General features: G+C 38.1%; 1 protein-coding gene and 1 long non-coding RNA gene across 14 annotated transcripts in view; one reads left to right on the forward strand and one right to left on the reverse strand.

The window, feature by feature from the left end:
• The window catches only part of LOC124900962 (uncharacterized), a 109,210-nt gene that overhangs the window by 22,492 nt on the left and 63,037 nt on the right, over positions 1-23,681 (forward strand). The window lies entirely within an intron of this gene.
• Positions 1-23,681, reverse strand: part of RANBP3L (RAN binding protein 3 like) — a 54,990-nt gene that overhangs the window by 17,481 nt on the left and 13,828 nt on the right. For 3 of the 13 annotated variants that reach the window (XM_006714453.5, NM_001323275.2, NM_001323276.2), the window contains exons 2-7: positions 6,860-6,918; positions 5,558-5,597; positions 4,997-5,014; positions 3,800-3,874; positions 1,056-1,127; positions 566-705 (exon numbers count right to left, since the gene is read on the reverse strand). In XM_006714453.5, coding sequence (XP_006714516.1) covers positions 566-705; positions 1,056-1,127; positions 3,800-3,874; positions 4,997-5,014; positions 5,558-5,597; positions 6,860-6,918 — 404 coding nt within the window. Of the gene's footprint in view, positions 1-565; positions 706-1,055; positions 1,128-3,799; positions 3,875-4,996; positions 5,075-5,557; positions 5,598-6,859; positions 6,919-23,681 lie in introns of all 13 variants that reach the window. The other 10 variants (XM_006714452.5, NM_001161429.3, NM_001323274.2 and 7 more) reach the window with 4 other exon arrangements.

Here is a 23,681-nt window from a genome sequence, read left to right on the forward strand (position 1 = left end):
GTGTAAGTTACTGTCTGTTTAGAAAGGCCTACAAAGAGTGATTCAGACACTACATAGTTGGAAGTTAGAATTCTTATCTGTCTCTAGAGGCTTCCCAAACCCTCCCAACTACACTGTATAGGGAGTTCTCTGCTCCTGTTATACTGGAATTTGGCTCTGAAATGAACCTCTGGTATGACCTAAACTGGCAACGATACACTGTGATGTTGACCAGTTGGCGATGTAGAGAAAATCCCTGCCTCTTTTTTGACTACTGACTCTGGCCCCTGGCTCCCTCATTGCTGTCCCCATTCTCACACAGGGTCATTGCTCTGGCACAAGACCCCCAGATTTCCACTACCCAGTACTCAACTTTACAACTTTAGAGAGACCACAGATTTGTGAGACTACAACTCTCCAATGTCAGAGTACAACTTTGAAAAGTTTACCAAGGGCTTTATGCTATCTAGCCCAACAACAAAACAAAGCTCAGACAACTCCTATTTCTGGATATGGGGGCCCCAAACAACCTGCAAAAAGAAAGATGAGGGATTGAGGTCAGTTCCGTTATCCTGGGCTTTCTCACCTTATTATTTGTTTTTTCTTTAGTCTTGCAAGATTCCAGTGCCTTGTGTCCAAATGTTTTTCTTACTTTTGCACAACTTCGAGCTTGAGGTAGCTGCAAAATAGCAGGTCTAATAACATGTTTAGAATGTTTCACAGGACCTTAAAAGAATAGAATTAAAGGATAAATATATGTTTACTGAAATATTCCTTTACTCCCTATTTTTAATTAATATAATTCTTATTTTCTAAAGTCATGTTTAAATGAGGGACTAGCGTTAATTAATCCAAGTCAAAATAACCATTGAGTTCCCCAACATTCACACCCTGCCTAGCTTTTGCCCAATAACTATTCATTTTGATCATGAAACCTGGCTTACTTGCATTATTTCTTCATGTTTTGTCACTCTGACCTACCTCCATGCCCCCAACACACGCACACATATAGGGAGATGAAAATATAGGTGGTAAAATATACAATTTCTGAGGTTCTTGAAATAGAAGCTACATACCTTGTTCAGCACTCTTTATATCAACACTACTTTGCACAAGAGCTGATGTCATAAAAACATTGTTTTTCCTCACTGTAAGAAAAAATATTTAAATTTTTTTAAATACAGAAGAGTGTCAGATTCTACACTATTTGGGGCTTAACAATCCCATTCCGAACTCACCAGCAGATGTCGCAATTGGCACTAACAGAGTAGTAGGTAGTGCCCTCTGGAGCACTGGCTCTGCGAAAAATGGGATTGCCAGCCAGGCGCGGTGGCTCGCGCCTGTAATCCTAGCACTTTGGGAGGCCAAGGCGGGTGGATCACCTGAGGTCAGGAGTTCGAGACCAGCCTGGCCAACATGGCGAAACCCCGTCTCTACTAAAAATACAAAAAATAATGAGCCGGGCGTGGTGGCAGGTGCCTGTAATCCCAGCTACTCGGGAGGCTGAGGAAGGAGAATCTCTTGAACCCAGGAGGTGGAGGTTGCAGTGAGCTGAAATCGCACCACTGCACTCCAGCCTGTGTGACAGGAGCGAGACTCCATTTCAAAAAAAAAAAAAAAAAAAAAAAGATATTGCCGGATGCGTCCTGCTACATAGTTCTGTTTACTTTCAGATATCTAAGTGAAAATTAGGTGACTAGCAGAAAAGGCAGTCTTTTTTTTGAATCTTTAAATAGTGCACTGTCAGAAATTCTACAGACTACAAAATCTGAATTGGTAATGAACCCTCCGGCATTAATATATAGCTCTTATAGAATATTATAAAACTGTTAGCAAAGTCTGCCCACACTCCCTGACTTTTTAATGAGTATACCTGAAGAAAGAAGTAAAGATGACAAATCTGCTAAGTTATTTTTCTACAAACATGTTGGTGGGGTAAGACTGTGGTGGTGGCTCCGAGTATAGAATTTCTATACATTTCAAAGGGATCTCCTCTTCATTGCAAATTGCAGAAACAGCAACCTTTGGCATTTAATGAAAATGAGAAAAGAATAATTGCTTCTTCAAAGTATTCTTTAAGGTGTTATAAATGTTGGGGTAGAATCCCTTCTCTACTTCAGAGTTCAATTTAATGTTTTTTATGATCTTTATTATTGAACATCAACAAAAAAAGAGCCATATTTTTCTCCTGCTGAACACCACTAACATTCTGCACAACATAAAACAGAATGATAATCTTTCTTTTTGTGTGAGTGTCCAGTAAAAAATGAATTAAAGCACGTGCATAGATAACTTAAAGTCGTTCCTTTGTTTTATGTATAAATACAATAAAACAGAACACCTTTGCCTCTGGGATTAGGATCTCTATTTCTATGTCTCTCTCACTTTTTTTTTTTTTCTTTGAGATTGAGTCTCTCTCTGTCATCCAAGCTGGAGTGCAGTGGCATGACCTTGGCTCACTGCAACCTCTGCCTCCTGGGTTCAAGCGATTCTCTTGCCTCAGCGCCCCAAGTAGCTGGAACTACAGGCGTGCAACACCATGCCCGGCTAATTTTTGTATTTTTAGCAGAGACCAGGTTTCACCATGTTTGCCACGCTGGTTTCGAACTCCTGGCCTGCAGAGATCTGCCTGCCTTGGCCTCTCAAAGTGCTGATATTACAGGCATGAGCCAACACGCCCAGCCAGGATCTCTGTTTCTCTTAATGTCTGAGCTTGTCAGTCAGGTTAGAAGGACTAGAGACACTAAAAGGTGTCTCTTCTGCATCTGAAAGTTACTTGATATACTGTTGCTCAGTCATGCCTGCAATTATTAATAAGAATACAGATTTATTCATTGAAAAACTCTGTTGTTCAGGCCAGGCATGGTGGCTCACGACTGTAATCCCAGCACTTTGGGAGGCCGAGGTGGGCGGATCACGAGGTCAAGAGATCAAAACCATCCTGGCCGAAATGGTGAAACCCCATCTCTACTAAAAATACAAAAATTAGCTGGGCATGGGTGGTGTGCGCCTGTAGTCCCAGCTACTTGGAAGGCTGAGGCAGGAGAGTCACTTAAACCCGGGAGGCAGAGGTTGCAGTAAGCTGAGATCACGCCATTGCACTCTAGCCTGGGCGACAGAGCCAGACTCCGTCTCAAAAAAAAAAAAAAGAAAGAAAGAAAGAAAAAACTCTGTAGTTCCTGGGTAGAGGGGGATCAATTCAAATGAAGTGAGTAGTTTGTAATTTTTCTTTCTTAGTGGCAAACTTAACTTGGAAAAGGCAATTGATTGTTTAGTAGAAATAAAAACATGAGAATAGAGATCATTTTAATGTGGAGAAAATGCCAACCATTTCAAATATTTTATTATGATAAAACAGTTTTACTAAGCAAAACATTATAAATTTCAAGTAAAGAGGAGTAATGTTTTAATTAGTGGAAATTTTAATGGATTTCTATGCTAAGCTTAAAATATGAATCTAAAGCATAATTGCATGTTTTAAATGCTATTACATTATAAACTATGTAGATGGACAATAGTAAGTAAAATAATGCAAATTGTTTTTACTTTTATAGGGCTGCCTTAAATAAAATAATACTGTTATAAATGTGAAATCCTAAAAAAACATGAAGTTCAAACTTTCTACCAAAGGTAAAAACATATACTCAGAATTTGTGAAGTTAGAATTCATAAGGTATTCTTCGATGCATACTTTGCTAAGGCCTCTGTTTATTTCTAAAGTGTCAGCATTTTATGATCGCTAAAAAAGAAAAGTCATCATTAATAAGAATGATTTTGAAAAGTCAGTGTCAGGCTTGAGGTTCTAGAAACTCTTTATTACCTGGCCCAGAATGGGGGAAGGTTGGGAGGTTAGTGACGGATGAACATCTCATTTGCTTCTGAGACAAGGTTGACACTAAAAGCAGATTGCAAACTAAAGTCAGTAAGAAAGTGGGTTTTTTGTTTTGTTTTCATTTGGAGTTTTGCTGTTTTGGAAAAATTTCTGTATCACTAATTTAGAAAAATCTTTTTATTTCTATTAATAAAAATGAGTACATCTGATGAAGATGATAAATTAATTTCCATTCAATTCCATTCAACAGTAAATATTTATTTTGTGGTCACCATATGTAAGACACTATCAACCATGAAGATGACCTCGAGGAACTCACAGTGGAGGAAAAATATATACATAGATGCTGTATTACAAGGTGGAAGGCATAGAGCTCATTATGAAAGGAATCCCTGGAGTGCTTTCAGCATAGAAGACAAGCAAACTAAGTTACTGGTTTACTCAGAATACAGTGTATGATAAAATTATTTTCAAGGGGTAGGCATCCATTTATTTAAATAGGCGGTTACTTTTTTTTTTTTTTCTTAGGAGTCTCACACTGTCACCCCACCTGGAGTGCGGTGGAGCAATCTCGGCTCACTGCAGCCTCCGCCTCCCAGGTTCAAGAGATTCTCCTGCCCCAACCTCCCAAGTAGCTGGGACTAGAGGCACCTGCCACCATGCCCAGCTAATTTTTTTTGTATTTTTAGTAGAGATGGGGTTTCACTATGTTGGCCAGGCTGGTCTCAAACTCCAGACCTCATGGTCTGTCCACCTTGGCCTCCAAAAGTGCTGGGATTGCAGGTATGAGCCACCGCGCCCAGCCTGTGGTTACTTTAAAAATGGCCTTTTCTCCTGCTTACAAAGCTAATACAAGCTCAATGCAGAAACTTTGGAAACATAGCAAAATACAGAGGCATGGGGTACAGGGAGGAGACCAAATCACTTGCAACTCCTCTACTTAAGATAACCACTGCTATCATTGTGGCTTATGTCCTTTTGGTATTTTTTCCAATGCTGATAAATGGAATGTTTAAATACTGACTAACTGTACCATTGTATAGCTTGTTGTTTTCACGTAACAATATATTATAAACACTATTCAGCTGGCAAGCTTTTAACATTACCCTTTTGAAAAGTTTCTCAGTAATTTTGCATTCAGAATAAACATAACAGTGAATAGTCAACAGTCAAGGCTATACATACCTCCCTGGGACTGAGAATCTGTAATATGAAAAGTAAAAGATGAAGACCGTACACGCTTTGTTGGAAAACCATTACATTCTGCAAGAAAAGCAATGGAAAGGCTAAAATTACTTGTGATAATAAATTATCCTCAACTCATGATAGGGTAGGATAAACAGAATTTTCTTTTGTCTACACAGACCATCATTTGATAGCACATTTTAAATATTGGGGTTAATAGTTTGCTGATTGATTATAAACCTATAGGCATATCATACTAGTATGAAACAATTAGAAATGAGTGGTGTCAGCAATAATTTGTATATGCATTCTGAGGTCTACAGAGAATGCTTTTGATAGGCTAAGGGGCAGGGAGTGGAGCACAATGAATTTTAGTCACTAACATCAGTGTTCTCAGGGACCTATATGTCATCTTTCAAAACAAAAGTGAATCTACTGGCATATTTAAAAAAAGAAAAAACATTAACTTTCACATAGTCTGTGCCACATGCCAAAATACTTGTGTCTGCTAATTTTGTTTGTATAAAGATTGATTTTGGAATACAGGATGAAAATCATTACCTGGTTCTGCTGCTTCATACAGGGTGTCTTCTGCAGGTCTCTGAAAGGAAACAAAACCACTGAGGAGAGCTGAGTATTTGCCTTTGTATTATGTTGGTGCAAAAGTTATTGCAGTTTTGGCAATTAAAAGTAATGGCAAAAATTGCAATTACTTTTGCACCAACCTAGTACATCAGATTTCCACCCTGCCACTTTACAGAATTCTCAGAAGCCAGGGCTAATAAGCCCGGCCAGGACAAAGCAGTTCACCTTCCTTTGTTCAGCACATAGTCAAGAAAAAACAACGTCTAGTCCAGTGGTTTTATAGTTCAATGGCTGCAGATTCGCTTGTGGAAGTTAGTTTAAAATGTGGATTTTGAGGCACCTATTCTCAAGATTCTGAAGTGGTTGTTCTGGGATGGGGTCCAGGAATCTGCTTTTTTAACAAGGGCTTGGAGGTTGAGTGTTTCTTTTGTTTAGTGTTTTTGTGGGTAGTAGGTTAAATTACCTGCATGGGTAAGAATGAATACCAAGAAATAAGGTAAAATGAGAATCTAGTGGAGTTTTTTGTTTGTTTAGAGATGAGGTCTTTTTCTGTCACCCAGGCTGCAGTACCAGCAGTGCAATCATAGCTCACTGCAACCTCTAACACCTAGGCTCAAGCAATCCTCTTGTCTCAGGCTCCCAAGTAGCTGGGACTGACTACAGGCACATGCCACCATGCCTGACTAATTTCTTTTTATTTTTTTGTAGAGATGGGGTCTTGCTTTATTGATCAGGCTGGCCTCGAACCCCAGGCTTCAAACAGTCCTCCCACCGTGGCCTCGAAACATGCGGGGATTACAGGCACAAGCCATCATGCCCAGCAACTAATCTTACTGTTAGTCTTTCAAAACGAATGATTTTATTATGATGCCAAAAAAAGCAGACAGAGTTCAGAAGATCCCTTTTAAATCAAATATTGTAATTTAGAATGTGTTTTTTTACCGAGTTTTAGGCTAGGTCAGTGGTGAGGACTCATATGAGGAGCTATAGTCCTCCTAATCTCTTTCAGCTCCTCCCCTTTTCAAGTTACTCCAAATAAAGATATTACCATAGCGAAACAGTATGTTATCCATAGCTGCAAGACAAGGCCTCTGGCTTCCCATTCCAGCCAAACTGAAGTTTGTAAATCCTGACTATATAAATAATCTGGAGGCACTACTCTGCTAGTAAAGAACAGGATAAACCTATGCAGCCGTGATATCTTTCAGGATAACTAGCTTCCTGAAATATAATTGTCTTTGTCAAAGTAAAATTGAACAAAGAAGTAGTCAATCTTACCTTAAAAGTTTGTTCTCCCTTTTCAAAAACAAATATGGGTTGAGCAATGACAGATTTTTCTGTGAAAAAAAAGAAAACAGGCAAGAAATCAAAGCATACTCTGACATTTCTTACATCATCTAAAAATATTTGAAGACTTTTTTTTTTGTTTTTTGTTTTCTCTGCATTTGGGTAAAAGCCAAGCTATTTTACATGAATACTATCAATTGCACATTTATAAATAATTTAACAGTTAATTACAGAAATAAATACTTGGGGGAAATGATAGCAGTATGTTTCCATAAATAGATAATCCCATTAAAAGAACATGCTTTAAGTGTTTAAGGAAAACAAAATATAATTATGTACCTTTAGAATCTCATCAGAGCATAGCGATTAACACCATTGCTTTAAGAATAAAAAGTTTCAATGAGTGAAAAATCTAATCTAGGAGTAGTACTTCCACTTAGGTTAGATGTGGAGGTAGAAATGATATGTATGCATTGCATTACAACCTTAAAATATCCAGAAATAATTCATATTTTCTTCACTAGTCATACACCACACTTTATTTTTAATATTTAGATAAAAAATTAGTCTTACACAGTGTTATAAAGTAGGTAAAATTTGTCTTCAACCTTGCCAGCCTTATTAATATTTTGTATTTTCTTATCTTAGATATGGCAATAGAGAGAAACTCATTCATTCTAGGGTATACATAAGTGATAACAGCTTTAAATATCAACGCTCCAGAATTCTTAAGAAATACTATGTGGTAGTTAAGAGCTTGGGCTCTGAAGTTAGTTTAGATAGGCATGTGTTCAAATATAAGTTACATCACTAATTGACTAACTACTTTGGGAAACAATGTATCTTTACCTTAGTTTCCTCATCTGAAAAAAAAAAATCAAGATTAAAGCAGTACTTACCTCATAGAGTTTATGTGAAGATTAAATGAGACTTTTAGATATAATTTTTTAAATTTTAACAAAAACAAAAAAGCCTTAAAGAAAGGTTACCTGGCATTCCACCAATCCCCATTCTAAAACTCATAGCTATCATTGCTAAATGATGACAACACATTCTGGATGAGACCAAGTAAGACCTCAGAACTTTTCTCAGTATAGCAACCATTACCAACATATTGTCTTGGCATACACTGAGGTAATTTGCCATCCCTGAGCTGAATAAATAAAGCTGTAGCTGACAAATTTCAAGAAACTACCAGACATATACAACTTTTAAATGCCAGAAAGGGATTCCCCATTTCTCCACAATCTTATCTCATAAGAGTTTCATAATGTCTGCAAACACCCTTTGTGAATTTCCTAGAGCCATGTGAATTTGGATACCTCTTTTCAGTCCAGTGAAATAAACTGTTTTGTGTTTAGTGGGGTTTTTTTGTTTGTTTTTGTTTTTTTGTGAGACAGAGTCTTGCTCTTGTTGCCGAGGCTCGAGTGTAATGGCCAATGGCTCAATCTTGGCTCACTACAACCTCCACCTCCCGGATTGAAGCGATTCTCCTGCCTCAGCCTCCCGAATAGCTGAGATTACAGGCATGTGTCATTACACCCAGCTAATTTGTATTTTTAGTAGAGATGGAGTTTCACCATGTTGGCCACGCTGGTCTCGACCTCCTGACCTCGGTGATCCACCCACCTTGGCCTCCCAAAGTGCTGGGATTACAGGTGTGAGCCACCACACCTGGCCTTGTGTAGTTTTTTTATGCAAGCACTTACCATGCTGTCTTCCCTTGGAGCCAAGTGATCCCCAGCAGAAAATCTTCACTAATATATTGGCATTACCATTCATATGAAACTATAGCTCAATTCTTTGTTGTTTCTCAAGACAAGCTCCTTTTCCGGAAATTATGTTAGATTTAAGCAGTGAGATTTGCAGAGACTTTGAAAAAGAAATAGTTTTCGTGAATGTGCAGTGGAATATTTATCAGTTAGAATAATAAATGTGACTCTTCTAAACTGGGCTTAGGACAGTCATCCCTAAACAGCATGGCTTGATCTAAGCCTACACAAATAATATGTTGACCTTCCCTCTATCCAAGCATATAACTAAAAATGTGCAAAAGTGATCTTCAATGGCAACATTAAAGAGGAAGTCACAAAGAGTACTTGCAGCTTGGAGGGCATATAGCAAAGTAAAAAGGCCACCTTTATCCATTAATTCAACACATATTTATTGAGCATCTTTTTTATGCAAGCATTGTGCTGGGAACTAGGGACACATGGTCTAATTGAAGGTGCATTAGTGGCAGCGGAGCCACCTTCCCTCCTTGACACTGCCCAGAACTTGGTTAGCAAAGAGATAACCTTCATACTTCTTCCACCTAGATGCTCTCCCCTTCTCCCAAACAATTCTCTTAGCTCCAAAGACTGAGTCAAAAGTAAGCATTTGTCAAGCCATTGGGTCTACAGCAGATTTTTTTACCTGACCCAGTAGGAGAATCTGAAAATAAAAACAGAGTCCTTAAAATTATATTTTTAAAATGTAGCCTTTTTTCCTTTCTACTGTAGTCATTAATCCATTTATTCAACAAATATGTATTGAGAAATGACAATGTACAAGACATTTTGCATGGTATTGTGGATGTTAAAATTAAGTTTAGCCTAAAGCTACCTTCTTATAAATTCTGCCTAAAGATTTCCCTGTTCATAGTGAACTGGATGTGTAAACAGACTGGAAACTACTCCTCTACCAATCGCTGAGTTTTGGCCAATCACAGGAGGCCAACTCTTCAAATAGAGGAAAAGCCAGCTGTAACCAATCCAGCTGTTTCTGTATGTCACTTCCATTTTCTGCAGGTCACTTTCCTTTTTCTGTTTCCTTTTTCTGACCACACGCCAGCACCAGAGTCTCTCTCAACCCATTATGGTTTGGGGGCTGCCTGATTCGTAAATTGTTCTTTGCTCGATTAAACTCTAAGAAATTTAATTTTTCTAAACTTTTTCCTTTAACATGGATAAAGCAGAAAAGAAAACAGATGTAGTCCCTGCCTTTTATAGAGCTTACACTGAGGAGGAGAAACAGAACTAAGTAATTAATTACGCAATTATTGAAGTTCAACTGGGGTAAGCATTATCAAAGGGAAGTACCAGGCTCTCAACAGGTAACCAACAAGAGAATCTTAGTTTTTGGGGTCAGGGTAAGGTTTCCAGGAGAGGTGATATTTAGACAGACTTGTAGGATGAGTAGAGGTTAGCCAGGCAAACGTAGAAGAAGGACATTCCAAGCAGAGGGAAAAGCAAGAGGAAAGTCTCTGAGGAAGGCTGGAGCTTGGCACATTTAATAATGAAAGGAACCAGTGTAGCTGATACCCTAAGAAAACAGTGGACAAGGGTTACAAAACAGGGCTGGAGATGAGGCTGGAGCTTTGCAAGGCCTTGCAGGTTCTATCAGGGAGTTCTGTTTTTATTCCAAGAAAAATGGGATGTCGAAGAGGGATTTTAAGCAGGGGAGTGATTTGCTTTGATATGCATTTTTTCTTTTAAAGATCACCCCTCCCGCGGTGATGAAAGGGTATTGGGGGGAAGGGGCTAAGGGAGAGGAAATAAGAATCTAATTAAGAGGCTAGTCTAAGTTCTAGAAAAGAGCTGATGAGGCTGCTCTTTTTTCTTTGTTTAAAATCATGCATCCATGACTTTTTTTTTAGAGAAATTGAATAATTAAAAGATTAAAATACAGTCTTCTGTGGCAGTGAAAGAAAATGAGGGGATTAGAAAGAAATACTTTAAAACTTAAAGGTTAATTTTGCTATTTTGCTTGTTTTGAGATTCATGTAGCATTTCATGAATCTCAATATTCAATGTTGTTTTTTTCTGAAATACTTCATTAAGAGAAGACATTCATTCACCTCACAAATATTATATTGAGTACTTGTTACAAGAAAGAACACGAAGTACTATCTATTTAATTCAATCTCAGTTCACTTGTAATTCTGCTCCACAAGGGAGGTACACTGTGGGTCAAGTGCTTTTATCCATCATCTGGTCTAAATTAATTATTTTAATCATTCTGTGGATTAAATATGGTTTCTGCCACTTACAGATGAGGAAACTAAGGCTTGGTTTAGTGCCTCACTAAATGCATACCATTAGTAAGTGGCAACGCCTTTAATTAAATCTAGGCCTCCTGCCTCCAAAACCATTGATTTAACTTCAATGCATCATACTCATGTATTATCCTATATGGCTCTACTGGCACATATTAGTCCCAAATGTATGATATGTGACATAATCCAGCACTATGCTAAGGAAAAATCAGTATAAAATAACAGGACTTTCAGCTTTGTCAAAGTTGATTGACCATACACGTGAACTTCGACTCCCTCCTTAAATCAGAAATCACAAAATAATAAGGTTTTCTTGGTGTAGGGGAGGAAGAGGAAGCCACCACAAATACAAGGAAAAATGAAGAGAAATAATAGCAACAAAATTTTGGAAGCTGGGAGGCAGAAGGACAAGTGGTAACTGACTTTGCAGCCTAATAGAGCTTAAACATAAAAATAAAGAAATACCGTGGTGTGTGGAGATACGGAGATTAATGCCGAAAGAAACAGTGGTGAGAGTTGGATATAGTTGTCTCTGGGGATCAAGAAAAGGGAGAGCAAAGGAGGGGACAAGGATGAGTCTCCTGTTTTTCCAGAAAAGCCTCATAAAACCATTTGATTCTTTAAATCACATGAATATGTATAACTTTGAAAATATAAAAACTAAATTAAAAAATAATCCCCTTTCTACCATAGTCAGACTCCCAGAATTAGAGGACAAACCCCATGCTGCTTGCCAAAAATAGACTTCTTATTGAATTATCCTGCCCAGCAAGCATACAGTACCTTGCTTCCTGGGCTTAACTGTTCTTCACATTAAAATAAGTGGAAATAAAGGTATAAGTAAGATGGAGTCACTGAGTTCAGAAAGCAATCAAAACTTCCCCAGAATAACTGAAGATCTGCTTTTTATGATGCCATCTAAACCTTTGAAAGACATTTGCTTTAGTTCTTGGCCTTCACCTTTACTCAAAACACTCATCTGAGTCTGTAGACAGGAATTCACTAGGAAGAAAACCCAGTACAGTGGTCCCTGTTATCTGTGACTTCAGCTACACATGGTCAACTGCAGTTCAGATATTTTGAGAGAACATTCACATAAAATTACAGTATATTGTTAAAATTGTCCTAGACTATTATTCTTAATCTCTTGATGTGCTTAATTTGAAAATTAAATTTTATCATAGGTATGTATAGGGGAAAAAAAATTCAGCTGAATGCTATGCATATATTTAATTGCTTTGTCCTCCAGGATTTTAAAGTATTATACTATCACAATCAATGTTTACAATAAACTTTTTTTTTCTATTTTATGTACTATATACCCCCCCTAATTTTGGGTGGGTTATAAGGTGTCCCTACCTTTTATTTCCATATCTTTAATTGACACCTGGTCTCTGACAAATAAACCTATTTCAACTGGGAAAGTAACTGGAGGATTTTTTTGCTGGATCCTCTCAGAGATGGGGATTTGAAAGGATCTACTGAGTCAAAAGAAGATGTCAAAGATAGAGTAAGATGCTGAGAATGGAGTACCTTTGGCTCCATTGTACTCCAGGGGGCATGAGGGACAGGCAGCTTCTAGAAGTCCCCAAGTTTCTGCTACACAGCTTCCCCCACCTAGATTACAGTACACCTCTTCTTTCCACTTGGTAGTGTAGTAGAGGTGGAAACCAAATTCTCCATGCTGGATAGAACCAGGCTACTCTAGCCAGGGCTAAAAAAGGTTGTGTAAACAGTCTTGGCAGGAAAGAGGGTGGCAACAAACCCCTGCAGAGGGGCAGGCACTGCCAAATGGGTCAGCTCTAATTGCTACCAGGACTGGAATTATCCACTTGAACTGTAGCCCTGGCAGTCCCTGCATTTTCTTCTCCCTTTCTTCCTGGCCCTTTCCACATGTCTCTTCCACATCCTCTTCTCTAATTTCTGCTCCTTGTGCACTGTCTCACCCCAATCTCCAGGACTTTCCTTTATGTCCCTGTCTTCTCACCCTTCTTCACCGTGTCTGGTTCTTTGGCTTGTCAAAGCATGGATTTTAGAGCTTGGAAGTTAGATGGTCCTAGAGCTGTATTTTAAATAAAGGACTCGAGCCTCAGCTTTTTCATCTCTCTCTCTCTCTCTCTCTCTCTATATATATATATATATATGTGTGTGTGTGTGTGTGTGTGTGTGTGTGTGTGTGTGTGTGAACTATTATGAGGATTTAAGCAGTATATGCATGCCAGAACACCTACAGCTTCTTCTTCTAACCTTTTGAAACAAAGCAGAATATCTATCTGTATCTGTCTATTCATCTGTCCTCTGTATATGCACACTTCTCTCCATATATCCAGATGTAGACATCTATCCACACATACATAAACATAAACATGTAGCAATATGTCAGGCTACAGTCTGCATAGGAGACACTGAATAAAAGTTAGATTCACTTCCCTCCTGCTCTGCTGTCCTGTGTGATATGCACTCACTATATTAGTCTGTTCTCACGCTGTTGATAAAGACACACCCAAGACTGGAAAATTTGTAAAGAAAAAGAGGTTTAATGGACTCACAGTTCCACGTGGCTGAGGAGGCCTCACAATCATGGTGGAAGGTGAGAAGCTCATCTTACATGCAGGCAGACAAGAGAGAATTGAGAGCCAAGCAAAGGGGGTTTCCCTTTATAAAACCACCAGATCTCGTGAGACTTATTCACTACCACGAGAACAGCTCATGAAGGAAACCGTCCCCATGATTCAATAATTTCCCACTGGGTCCCTCCCACAACACATGGGATTTATGGGAGCTACAATTCAAGAGGAGATTTGGGTGGGGACACAGCCAAACAATATCACTTACCTACTCTATGTTAGCTCTGGGGGAAGTGCCTCATTCTTCCCCAAAAGTCTTTCTTTTTCTTTTCACTCATTACCTTATGCTTACCCCTAGCTTGCTTCTCATTTCTCTCCCATCTTTTTTATTCTTTTTATTTTTTGATATCAGGAAGTTTCCAAATTCAGATGTGGCCCATAAATAGTCTTAGAGATCCTTGCTCCTCAAAGTGTGATCCAGATGGACCAGCAGCATTGACAGGGAGCTCATGAGAAATGCAGAATCTCAGTCTCCACCCCCGACCTACTAAGTCAGAAGCTACATTTTATAAGGTTCCCGGGTGATTTGTAGACATGCTAATACTTGATAAGCAGTCCTCTAGAGCACATTCAGATTTCTGTCAACTGAGATCAAATTTAGGAAAATGGCAGTAAAGATTCCTGGACTACTCTAGTAGTCACTAGTTAGAGTAGTGACTACTAACTAGTAGAGACTAAACCTGTGGGATGTTCTGAGTAAGCTCACAATTAATGTGAAAATAATTACTATTCAAACCGTATACTATAATTACTACAATTCAGTGTAAGGTGAAGTCAAGGGCTACCCTAAGTACTTGCAAAGAAATCTCTGTGGTAAGGATATTGAAATGTCAATATTGATATTGATATTAAAATTAGTCATTCGGATATTCTGCTTGAAGCAATTAATGATTTCTTCTCACATGCAAAAGTTCGCTTTCTGTTTTAATGATATACCTAAAATCTAACTTATTTACATGAACAAATTTTTTTGGAAAAGGTCACCGGTTGAGATTATTGAATGGTGATTAAAATGTTCATTGCTGCAAAGCAAAAATTTAAGCTGGAAGCATAAACTACATCAAAAACATTGGCCATAGCTCTAAAATTCCTCAACAAAAATTTGAAACATCTGAAGTTTCAAATGTAAAAACTGACATTATCTGCAGAAAAAAAATAGACAAATCATAGCAGGGGATCTCAATCTCTGCATGGAGCCCAAGGAAGAGGAGATACAGAAAGTCAGAATCACGATCTTGATTTTTTAAAAAAGAACAAACAAAAAACCCAACCTATGTTGAAGTATTTTAAGATAGTTAGAGAAGGGGCAAATTGTATCCCCAGAGGAAGAAGGAATGTGTGCCAATTCACAAAGGAACCACAAGCATGAGACATTCTGTACTTGTTTCTACTTATTTCTAGCCATATGTGGGGGAACTCTAAAAAACTTTTTTTAATGAAATAAACAACAAACTATCTACTAAAAGATTAAAAAGTATGTTTTACAGAAGGAGGTGGTAGGGCCACAGCATGACATTACTAACTGTGATGGGACACTCTGGTTCTATTTCCTGAGATACTTTGTACCAATTTGAAGGTAAGATAACGAGGCCTCTGGGGAAAAGAGAGGCAATTTATACAGAAAGTTTCCAGGCTGACTCACAAAGCACTAGCTCAACTGGAGAAGCAAGATGAATGGATCCTGCTGAAACGATTGCAGCCCTGATCATACATGTTGAAGATGTAACCAATTTTGTGTTCAGATCTTTATACCAGATGTATATGAAGTAAAAGGGTAGGAACACTTATCCCTTTTGATCTAACTGCAGTTTTAACTATACTTGTTCTTAACTGCTTTAAAGTTTTTATCAGAATGAAGTTATAAACTGCCAACTCTGGGAAATCTAGCATTTCTTAGTTTATATTCATTTATGACTAACACCCACTAGAGAAAAAAGAATCAACATGTGAAAAAAATAAGGAAAGTTATTCCTCTTTTCTCATCAATACCAAGCTGATAAAGAAAGCAGTTATTTTCAGAATGGAAATCATTTCACAAGAAGAAATTGGAGAAGATGAGAAAACTCTCTGTCAATATGACTGATTACAACCATTATTATCCAGAGCTTTGTCTAATCCTTCTCATTTTCTGAACACATCTGATTCTCATGCTGATAATCTTCAAGGGAACCATTCATTTTAAGTTCTAAAGACTCAACTCTCTCCTCCACTGATTTGTACATTGTTCTAGATCTAGACACTGAACAATTTTGAAAAACCAAGACATAGAGATAAGAAAATATCTAATGTGAACAAGAGGCAAGAAGACTCATAGGTTGTATCAAACACAGACCTGCTACCCTTCTGAAAGCAGGACCAAACCCTTGAAAACTCTTGGGTTGAAGGCACTTCTCACCCCAAACGTAACTCCAAACTGTGCTGCTTCATTTATAATCCAGCCACATGTGATAGTGGGCCATAGCCAGTGACTTAATTTCATTTGCATTTAAGAAACTGGGGATCTTCAGCAGCAATAATTCAATTGAAGAAAAATTCTTCTCATTTTTTAAAGTTATTTACTTCACTAACATCTTTATGGAGTTCACAGAGTCCTAAAAACAGAATTTTTGTTAAATCGTTTCACATAGAACATCAGGCAGATCACCCTATCAATCAAATACAGTGGTGACTGAAGAAACTGAATTTATATATGTATTTTGAAAATGTTTTGTAATTGATCCCCAAAGATATGATCATCACGTGCAGTGCTAGCTTTTTATTTGGGGGTGATCAGGGACTAGAATGGTTTTATAAGGACTTTCTTTGTTTTTTAATAGATCTTTTTCAATGACTATCACAGCATGCTCCATTATATTTTACTATTGTTTTAGTGTCAGGACATTACTCTTTGAATTATTATTTTTTCTTTCTTCTTAAAGATAATAGCTACCATATGAAATGCATATACCCATCATGACTAGTCTTTACTCTTTTGCCTTTTGAAATGTTTAACTTAATATGACTTTAAGAAGTACCATGAAAAGTTAGATCTGGCTGATCACCAAGGATGCTTCTTTATGCCCTGGCATAATATAAAAATTTACATTTGTGCCATACTTTATAAGACATATTTACATATATTAATATTTGGTAAATAAAAGAATGACTGCTAGGAACTAGAGGTATGGTTTTAAAAACCTGAGCTTTGGAGAAAAACAGACTGGATTAAAATTTTATCTCCTCAAGTTACTGTGTGAGCTGGGGCATGTCATTTGAACCCTAGAGTCCAGGTTTTCTCACCTGTGAAATGGGGATCATTAGACCTACCTTATAGAGTTGTAACGATTCAGCAAGGTCATGTATGTAAAACACTCAGCACAGTGCCTGCCTCATAAGAAATGCTCAGTAAGCTGCAGCTCTTATTACATGATATGATCCTCAAGAAGTTAGTTATTGAACCCTTTTGCTCATGAGAGAACTAAGGCTCTAAAATTACGGGACCTGTCTCAGGTCACACAGATAATTCTTAGATATCTGAGACTATAATGCATGAGAGCTGACTCCAAATCTTTTTTCTCTAAGTTAGCTTTCTTCCTGGCTTCCATTGTGAGTTAAACGACTATTTTACAGCTTCTTCTTTTCTGAAAGGTGACATGCCTGGGCTATGATGGCTCTTTCCTGCCTTTCATGGTTCTGTATAAACCTGGTTGGGACATGATCCTATATTGTGTGAGTCTTCCTGCACTTCAGTTTTGCCGTCTATAAAACACTGCAAGATGCTTCTGTTATTCTTGCCATTATTTGTACACATTCTGACTCTAAAGAGATTTGATCAAGAATGTCTGCAGGCAAGTGGCATAGTGATCCTAGCAATGTAAAATCTCCATGTAAATATTTCTTTTCAGACACTGGCAGCAATAACTAAGAAGAATGTGTTACTTTTGACAGGGCACACCCATTTCTGCATAATTTGAAGGCGTTACTTTGTCTATAAATAAGACTATTGTGTTCTTTTGTGACAAAATTTACTTGCAATGTTTACTTGAATATGCTTATTAGGAGCAAATGTGGGACTTCTGGATTGATAATGACAGAAAGAACTGTTTGCTCTTTCTCTACACTACTCCCTTATTTAGGCCCAAGGGCTCAGAAAGTTGCAGAATGTGTCCTAGGATGTGCTTGGTCAACCTGATACCATTTGGAAATACATATTTAATTTGACAGCATTTGTAAATCACATATTTTTCACTCAGAATAACTCGCAGTGTGAAAATGCTCCCATATGTTAAAAATGGGTCTCTGCTTCGCTGAGGGAGTGGGGAACAAAGTCTAGGTTTCATGGGATGTTGGAAATATGCATTGAGCAGGCACATACGCAAGTCTAAAATGGTGTCTTCTCAAAGTTAATTTTAAATAATAATTAGTAGATTTTTCATTACTGCTAACATTGAAGAGGTACTTTTGACACAAAATATCATATCAGTAAGAACTAAATCACTCTTCAAAAAGACTACTAATAAGTTAATACAGCTGAAATATAGCTTCATATATTGAGTCCAGATAAATTTAAATCCTTCCCCTTTGGTGAAGAAACATACTATTTTTAAATTTCTTCATGGATTCCAAGGACACAGGCCGGATGGAGAAGCTTGATTCCAACTTCTTCCAATTCTAAAACTCATTTCTTTAAACTAATTCCTCTTTGTCTTGAGCCTTTGAGCACATAGAAGAAAAAGCTCCTTGTTTCTCCATTTCCACAGGAATAAGTGGATGTTATTCCACGGAGAACAAGTCTTTGGCAGTCTATTCAGGAAGAAGGAGCTGAGCTGCCATCCAAAGCCCGACTAGCCCAGGAGGGGCCTGGTCCCCATTCTCCTCTAGGGAACCCCCAGGAGACCCATCATTCCTCTTCTCCTTGTGTTTGAGGGCTGAACTGCCCTCCTGGCCCTCAGGCATAGAAATGTAGCAGGAATAACATGATGCCTGTGGCAGATGGTTCTGCAGTGATATATATTATTGCACCATATCAGAACTAGTTTGGAGGAAGTAAAGGCCAGGTAGTAATTTGTACACTTACCAGAAACGTTTTGTTCACCAAGCTAATAAAAATTAGCAGAGAAAAGTTTTTACTTTTAAAATTTATATGACTTGAAAAATTCCCAGGAAAACTGAAAACAGTCCTGTAAATTTATCTATTTCTGAGGATGCCTGGCTAGCTCAGTTGGCTCACTACAACCTCTGCCTCCTGAGTTCAAGTAATTCTCGTGCCTCAGCCTCCTGAGTAGCTGGGATTACAGGCATGTGCCACCATGCCCAGCTAATTTTTGTATTTTTAGTAGAGATGGGGTTTCAACATGTTGTCCAGGCTGGTCTCAAACTCTTGACCTCAGGTGATCCACCCACCTCAGCCTCCCAAAGTGCCGGGATTACAGGCATGAGCCACCACACCCAGCACGTTAATTTAACCTTACTCAGTTTTCAAAATGAAAAATGTTACAAAAAAAAAAAAACACCAAAATTTTAATCCATATTTGAGAATGAAGCTTCTTATAACAAAAGTTTGTCTTGTTAAATAAACAGAACCTCATAATCTGTAGTACTGGTATGGGTCTTGCCTATGCTCTGTATATAAAAATACACACACACACACACACACACACACACACACACATCTTTATCTGCCACTTTATGTCTCTGCAGACAAGTAAAGTTGAATACAGCCAATCGTAGACCAAAATAATCCATTTTCAGCATTCACAGACTTTCCTCTTTACTCTTACTCTTTCAATAGCAATATCCTTCCTTTTATTAGAACAATTCCTTAAACAGGTCATTATAAAAATCTGAAATATGGTTTTTACATCTACATGGAGCCCCACTCCAGAGAGATGACCATGTTATTGAGCTGTAGTTGCTGCAGGTTTGAAAGTTTCTCTGAATCTGATGAGGGAAATAAATTTGAATCTCATTAGCATTGAGTTATTTCAGCTTCAGCCCATCCTGCCACGATACAGGTCATACTTAAAAATCTCTTCTTTATCTCTCCTGTTTGAGTATATAGGTTGGGTTCCCTCTCCTCACTTCCTTTTTTTTTTTTGAGATGGAGTTTCACTCTTGTTGCCCAGGCTGGAGTGCAATGGCACGATCTTGGCTCACCACAACCTCCACCTCCCGGATTCAAGTGATTCTCCTGCCTCAGCCTCCTAAGTAGCTCACTTCCCATTTTAAACCCTGTTCTCCTTCTGAATCAACTCACAGACATACATTTTATGTTCTTTTGAGGTGGCTTTAGTTAGTATCAAAAGATACCTTCACACCAGCATCCCTTGTTAAAAGTCTAGATCTTATTCCTATGACCTTTTGTTTGTTTATTGCCATCCACAGGGTGTGAGGTATGTGATCATTGGGTAGAAGGAATGCAGCTTTTTAATTAATACAGGTATTTACTGCATTTTAAATCCTGACTTTTGAATATTTTGCTAGATTTGCCAACAGACTTCATTAAAAAGCAACTCAGGTGTGAAACTTACCTTCCCTAAATGTTAATTAAAATTTTAAGTCAAGTTAATGATTTAGTGTAATAGTTGAGCCACCACGTGAAATAAAGTCCTAGTTTAAATACAAAGTGAATTATAATAGTGACTATTATTTAGCCCTTTTTAATTTGAGGTTTTGCATACTGCCTCTTTATTTTGTCAAAAACCCAAACTGCTCTCCAAGGCTGTATCAGTCCTGTTCCAAAAATGGTACATTGCTATCTTTCTCATTTCATGCAGTGTGGGACATAGGGGCTAGGCAGTTATTTAAAGTTAAGCAAAAACTGCTAGCCTAATCAGTAAGCCACTTGCTCTGAGCTGCTAGGTGTGCACTGATACATCTGTATTTTTGCAACTGTTTCTTTTCCAGTCAAATATACCCTTTTGGGAGACAGTTGGATGTAGTTGGTAATTCATATAGAAATTAACCAGTGATTTAATAGCAACCTATTCTAAACAACTGAACCACAAATTGAGTTTAAGGGCCAGCCATCATCCAAGTCCTTCTCAGGTACTTAGCTGAACATCTATTTTGTACCAGCTTAAGAGGCAGTGAGCATGAGTGAAAGCAGTCTCCGGAGTCCGGATCTTGGATTACAAGCTTGGCTGAAGACCCCAGCTCTGAGACCTCCTGGGGCTTTCACAAAGAAATGAGCTAATACATCAAAAGTACTGAAAAACAGTGTCTGGTATATAACAAACACTTCATAAATGTGATTTGTTTGTAAGTGACATGTTAGCACTGTGGTATGGTCTAGGGTATGAATCCATTTTTCTGTCTCAAATAACTTGTACAACACAACTGAGGCAGCATTACCACGAAAGAATAATTCTTGGCAAATCTCAGAATCTCAGTTTTGAAAGTGATTTTATAGGTCTCCTAGTGGAACTTATCATCTAAGGTGTCAAGAGCATCCTCAGTAGATGGCCTTCCATAACAAAGAATATCAATAAGGGTTCAAATGTTTGCTCTTGCCAGATCTTACTTCATGTGTGGAGCACACTAGTGTACAGGCTACATGTGTGCCAGGATCTTGGCCCTTCATCCCACAGGATCAGCCTCCTGAATTTACCTCAAAGTGCTGTATCATTTCTAACATATGCCTTATTGTTAAAAAATGTAGAGAAGTGCTGCTTTTGGTTATCACAGTTGTAATTGACTTTAGAAGACACCAGCAAAGACAGCATAATTAGTATGTGAATGTTAGATTAAATTATACCATCTAAAGTTGTATCTATTGACCTAGTGGGGAATTTGTACCTCAGGTATGGTTACCAGCACCAGGAAACCCACATTCAGAGGCTTCTTATTACAAGGTTGTCATCTTTCCTTCTCAATCAATATCCGAGCCTTTGAGATTTAGCATCATCAACATCAGAAATGAATTTTCATTGGTGAAATTAATGGCATTCAAGACCTTGGATTGCCTGAAATATTTTAAGGACACTTGCTAGTCTTACACAACCTGGACAGAAGAATCTGGCAAGACCTGTACCCTGTACTTTTAAGTACAGTGCCCAAAGCTTTATACTGAAAGGTCCCAGTGTCCATTAATGAGCAGGATAATTCGTGGTTACTGGCTGACTACACAGAATACTGCCTGGGGAATGTCGTTTTGTCTGAGCAAACCTTAAGGAACAAAGAGTTTGGGACATTGTATGCAGTGTTTTATGCTTGTTTGCTAATTAATGTTTGTTTAGTAAATATCTGTCCATTTGGAAGAATTTACCCTAAGATTTGCTTTATTTTAACATGGTATTGAGGTTGAGAGGAGTAGCTTACTTTTACTGCATCCCTAACTTTTTGTTGGTTATTTCTAGCTCCCCAAAAGAACCTGAAAGGTGTAAATGATCAAATTAACTCAAATTGGCATGTAATATTTCCCATCTCTCTCACAGTCAAAGCCAAAGGACTTACCAGGGCAGACATGACCATGTAACTGCTCTTTCCTCTCCCCTCTCCCTTATCTCTCAATCACTTCCTAACACTCACTTAAGCTAACTTGATCATACTGGCATCCTTTTGTCCCTCCAACACAGTCATTCTTAAAGTGTGATCTCTGCAACTGCAGCAATGATGGCATTTCTCTGAGAACTTGTTAGAAATGAAAATTCTTGACTCCTTCCCTCCATTCCCCTCAGAATTTCTGAATCAGAAAGTCAGAATGGGACCCAGCAATTGTGTTTTAATAAGCTATCCAGGTGATTCTGCAGGTGATGCTAAAGTTTGAGAATCACTAACCTAGATAACTGTGATAAAAATATTGCTCTAACTGAAATGAATCAATAACCACGTCAGAACAAATGTAGACCAAGTGTGATTTCTAAAACTCAGTCTTTGTACTTACTCTTTATTCTACCTGGACTGCTCTTCCCCTAGATGTGGCATGACCCACTCCCTCACCTCTTACAGGTCTTTACTCAAATTCACCTTCTTAATGAGGTCTTCCCTGAGCACCCTGCTTAAATCAGATCTCCATTATGACACTCTATGCTGCCTGCTTAATTTTTTTTCCATAATTCCTATCTTCATTATTATCATTTACACCATTGAGCCCCAACCTTTTGGCCCATGGGACTGGAAGACAATTTTTCCACAGATGGTGGGAAGGTGGGTGGGGATGTTCTGGGGATGAAACTGCCCCGCCTCAGATCATCAGACATTAGATTCTCATAAAGAGCACGCAACCTAGATCCTTCACATGCACAGTTCACAATAGGGTTCACGCTCCAGTGAGACTCTAATGTGCATTGATCTGACAGGAGGCGGAGCTCAGGTGGTAATGCTCACTCACGCCCTGCTCACCTCCTGCTGTGTGACCCAGTTCCTAACAGGCCATGGACCCCTGTTTGCACTATATATTTTGCTCATTTATCTTCTTTATTGTTTGCCTTTCTGCCTCTGAGAAAATAAGCTCCTTGTGGGCAGGATTTTTTGTTTGCTTTGTTCACTAGAGTCGAGAACAGTGCCTGATAAATGGCAGCCACTAAGTATGTGTTAAATAAAATAAATGAAGTGCTATGTAAATGCAAACAAGATGAAGTAGAGATGGGGTGAAAAAATATTCATGAAGTAGTCCATTTTAGGTGTTTATTAAACGATAACTCATGAGTCAGTTGTGGCTTTAAAACAATACAACACTGAATTCTAAAGAAAATTAAGATAAATCGTTGATTCTAAAGGATGTTCAATAATGAAAAGACAGATGCTTGACAAAAAGAGTTAGTGTCTCGCCCTAGGTGTTAGATAGTTCTTTTTATTATACCTCAATTTATCCTGTGCTAATCTCATTGATTAGCTAATTTTTGGTGACTATGTTATTAATAGAGAAGTTCTAAGCTTTAGGAATAAAAGCAACAATAAAATACCACTATTATTAAAGCTGACTAAAGTTATACTAACATTTTCTCTTGAAGGTGTGATATTTCCTGAGCTGTGGGTACTCTGCCAGTAGGATACGTTATGTTCTTGGGCAAGTTATTCTAATTCATTGAGATATTTCAGTCTCTTCACTATTCTGTGGAATTACTAGTAGAGGCCTAGAGGAAAATTTGGAGTCTGAGGCCTCCTAGGCAGTCTCACATTTTAGAAAATGAGGCCTAAATTACATAGAATAAAATGCACAGATGAATTT

This window comes from Homo sapiens, chromosome 5, assembly GCF_000001405.40.
Source record: "Homo sapiens chromosome 5, GRCh38.p14 Primary Assembly".
NCBI classification, from domain to species: domain Eukaryota; kingdom Metazoa; phylum Chordata; class Mammalia; order Primates; family Hominidae; genus Homo; species Homo sapiens.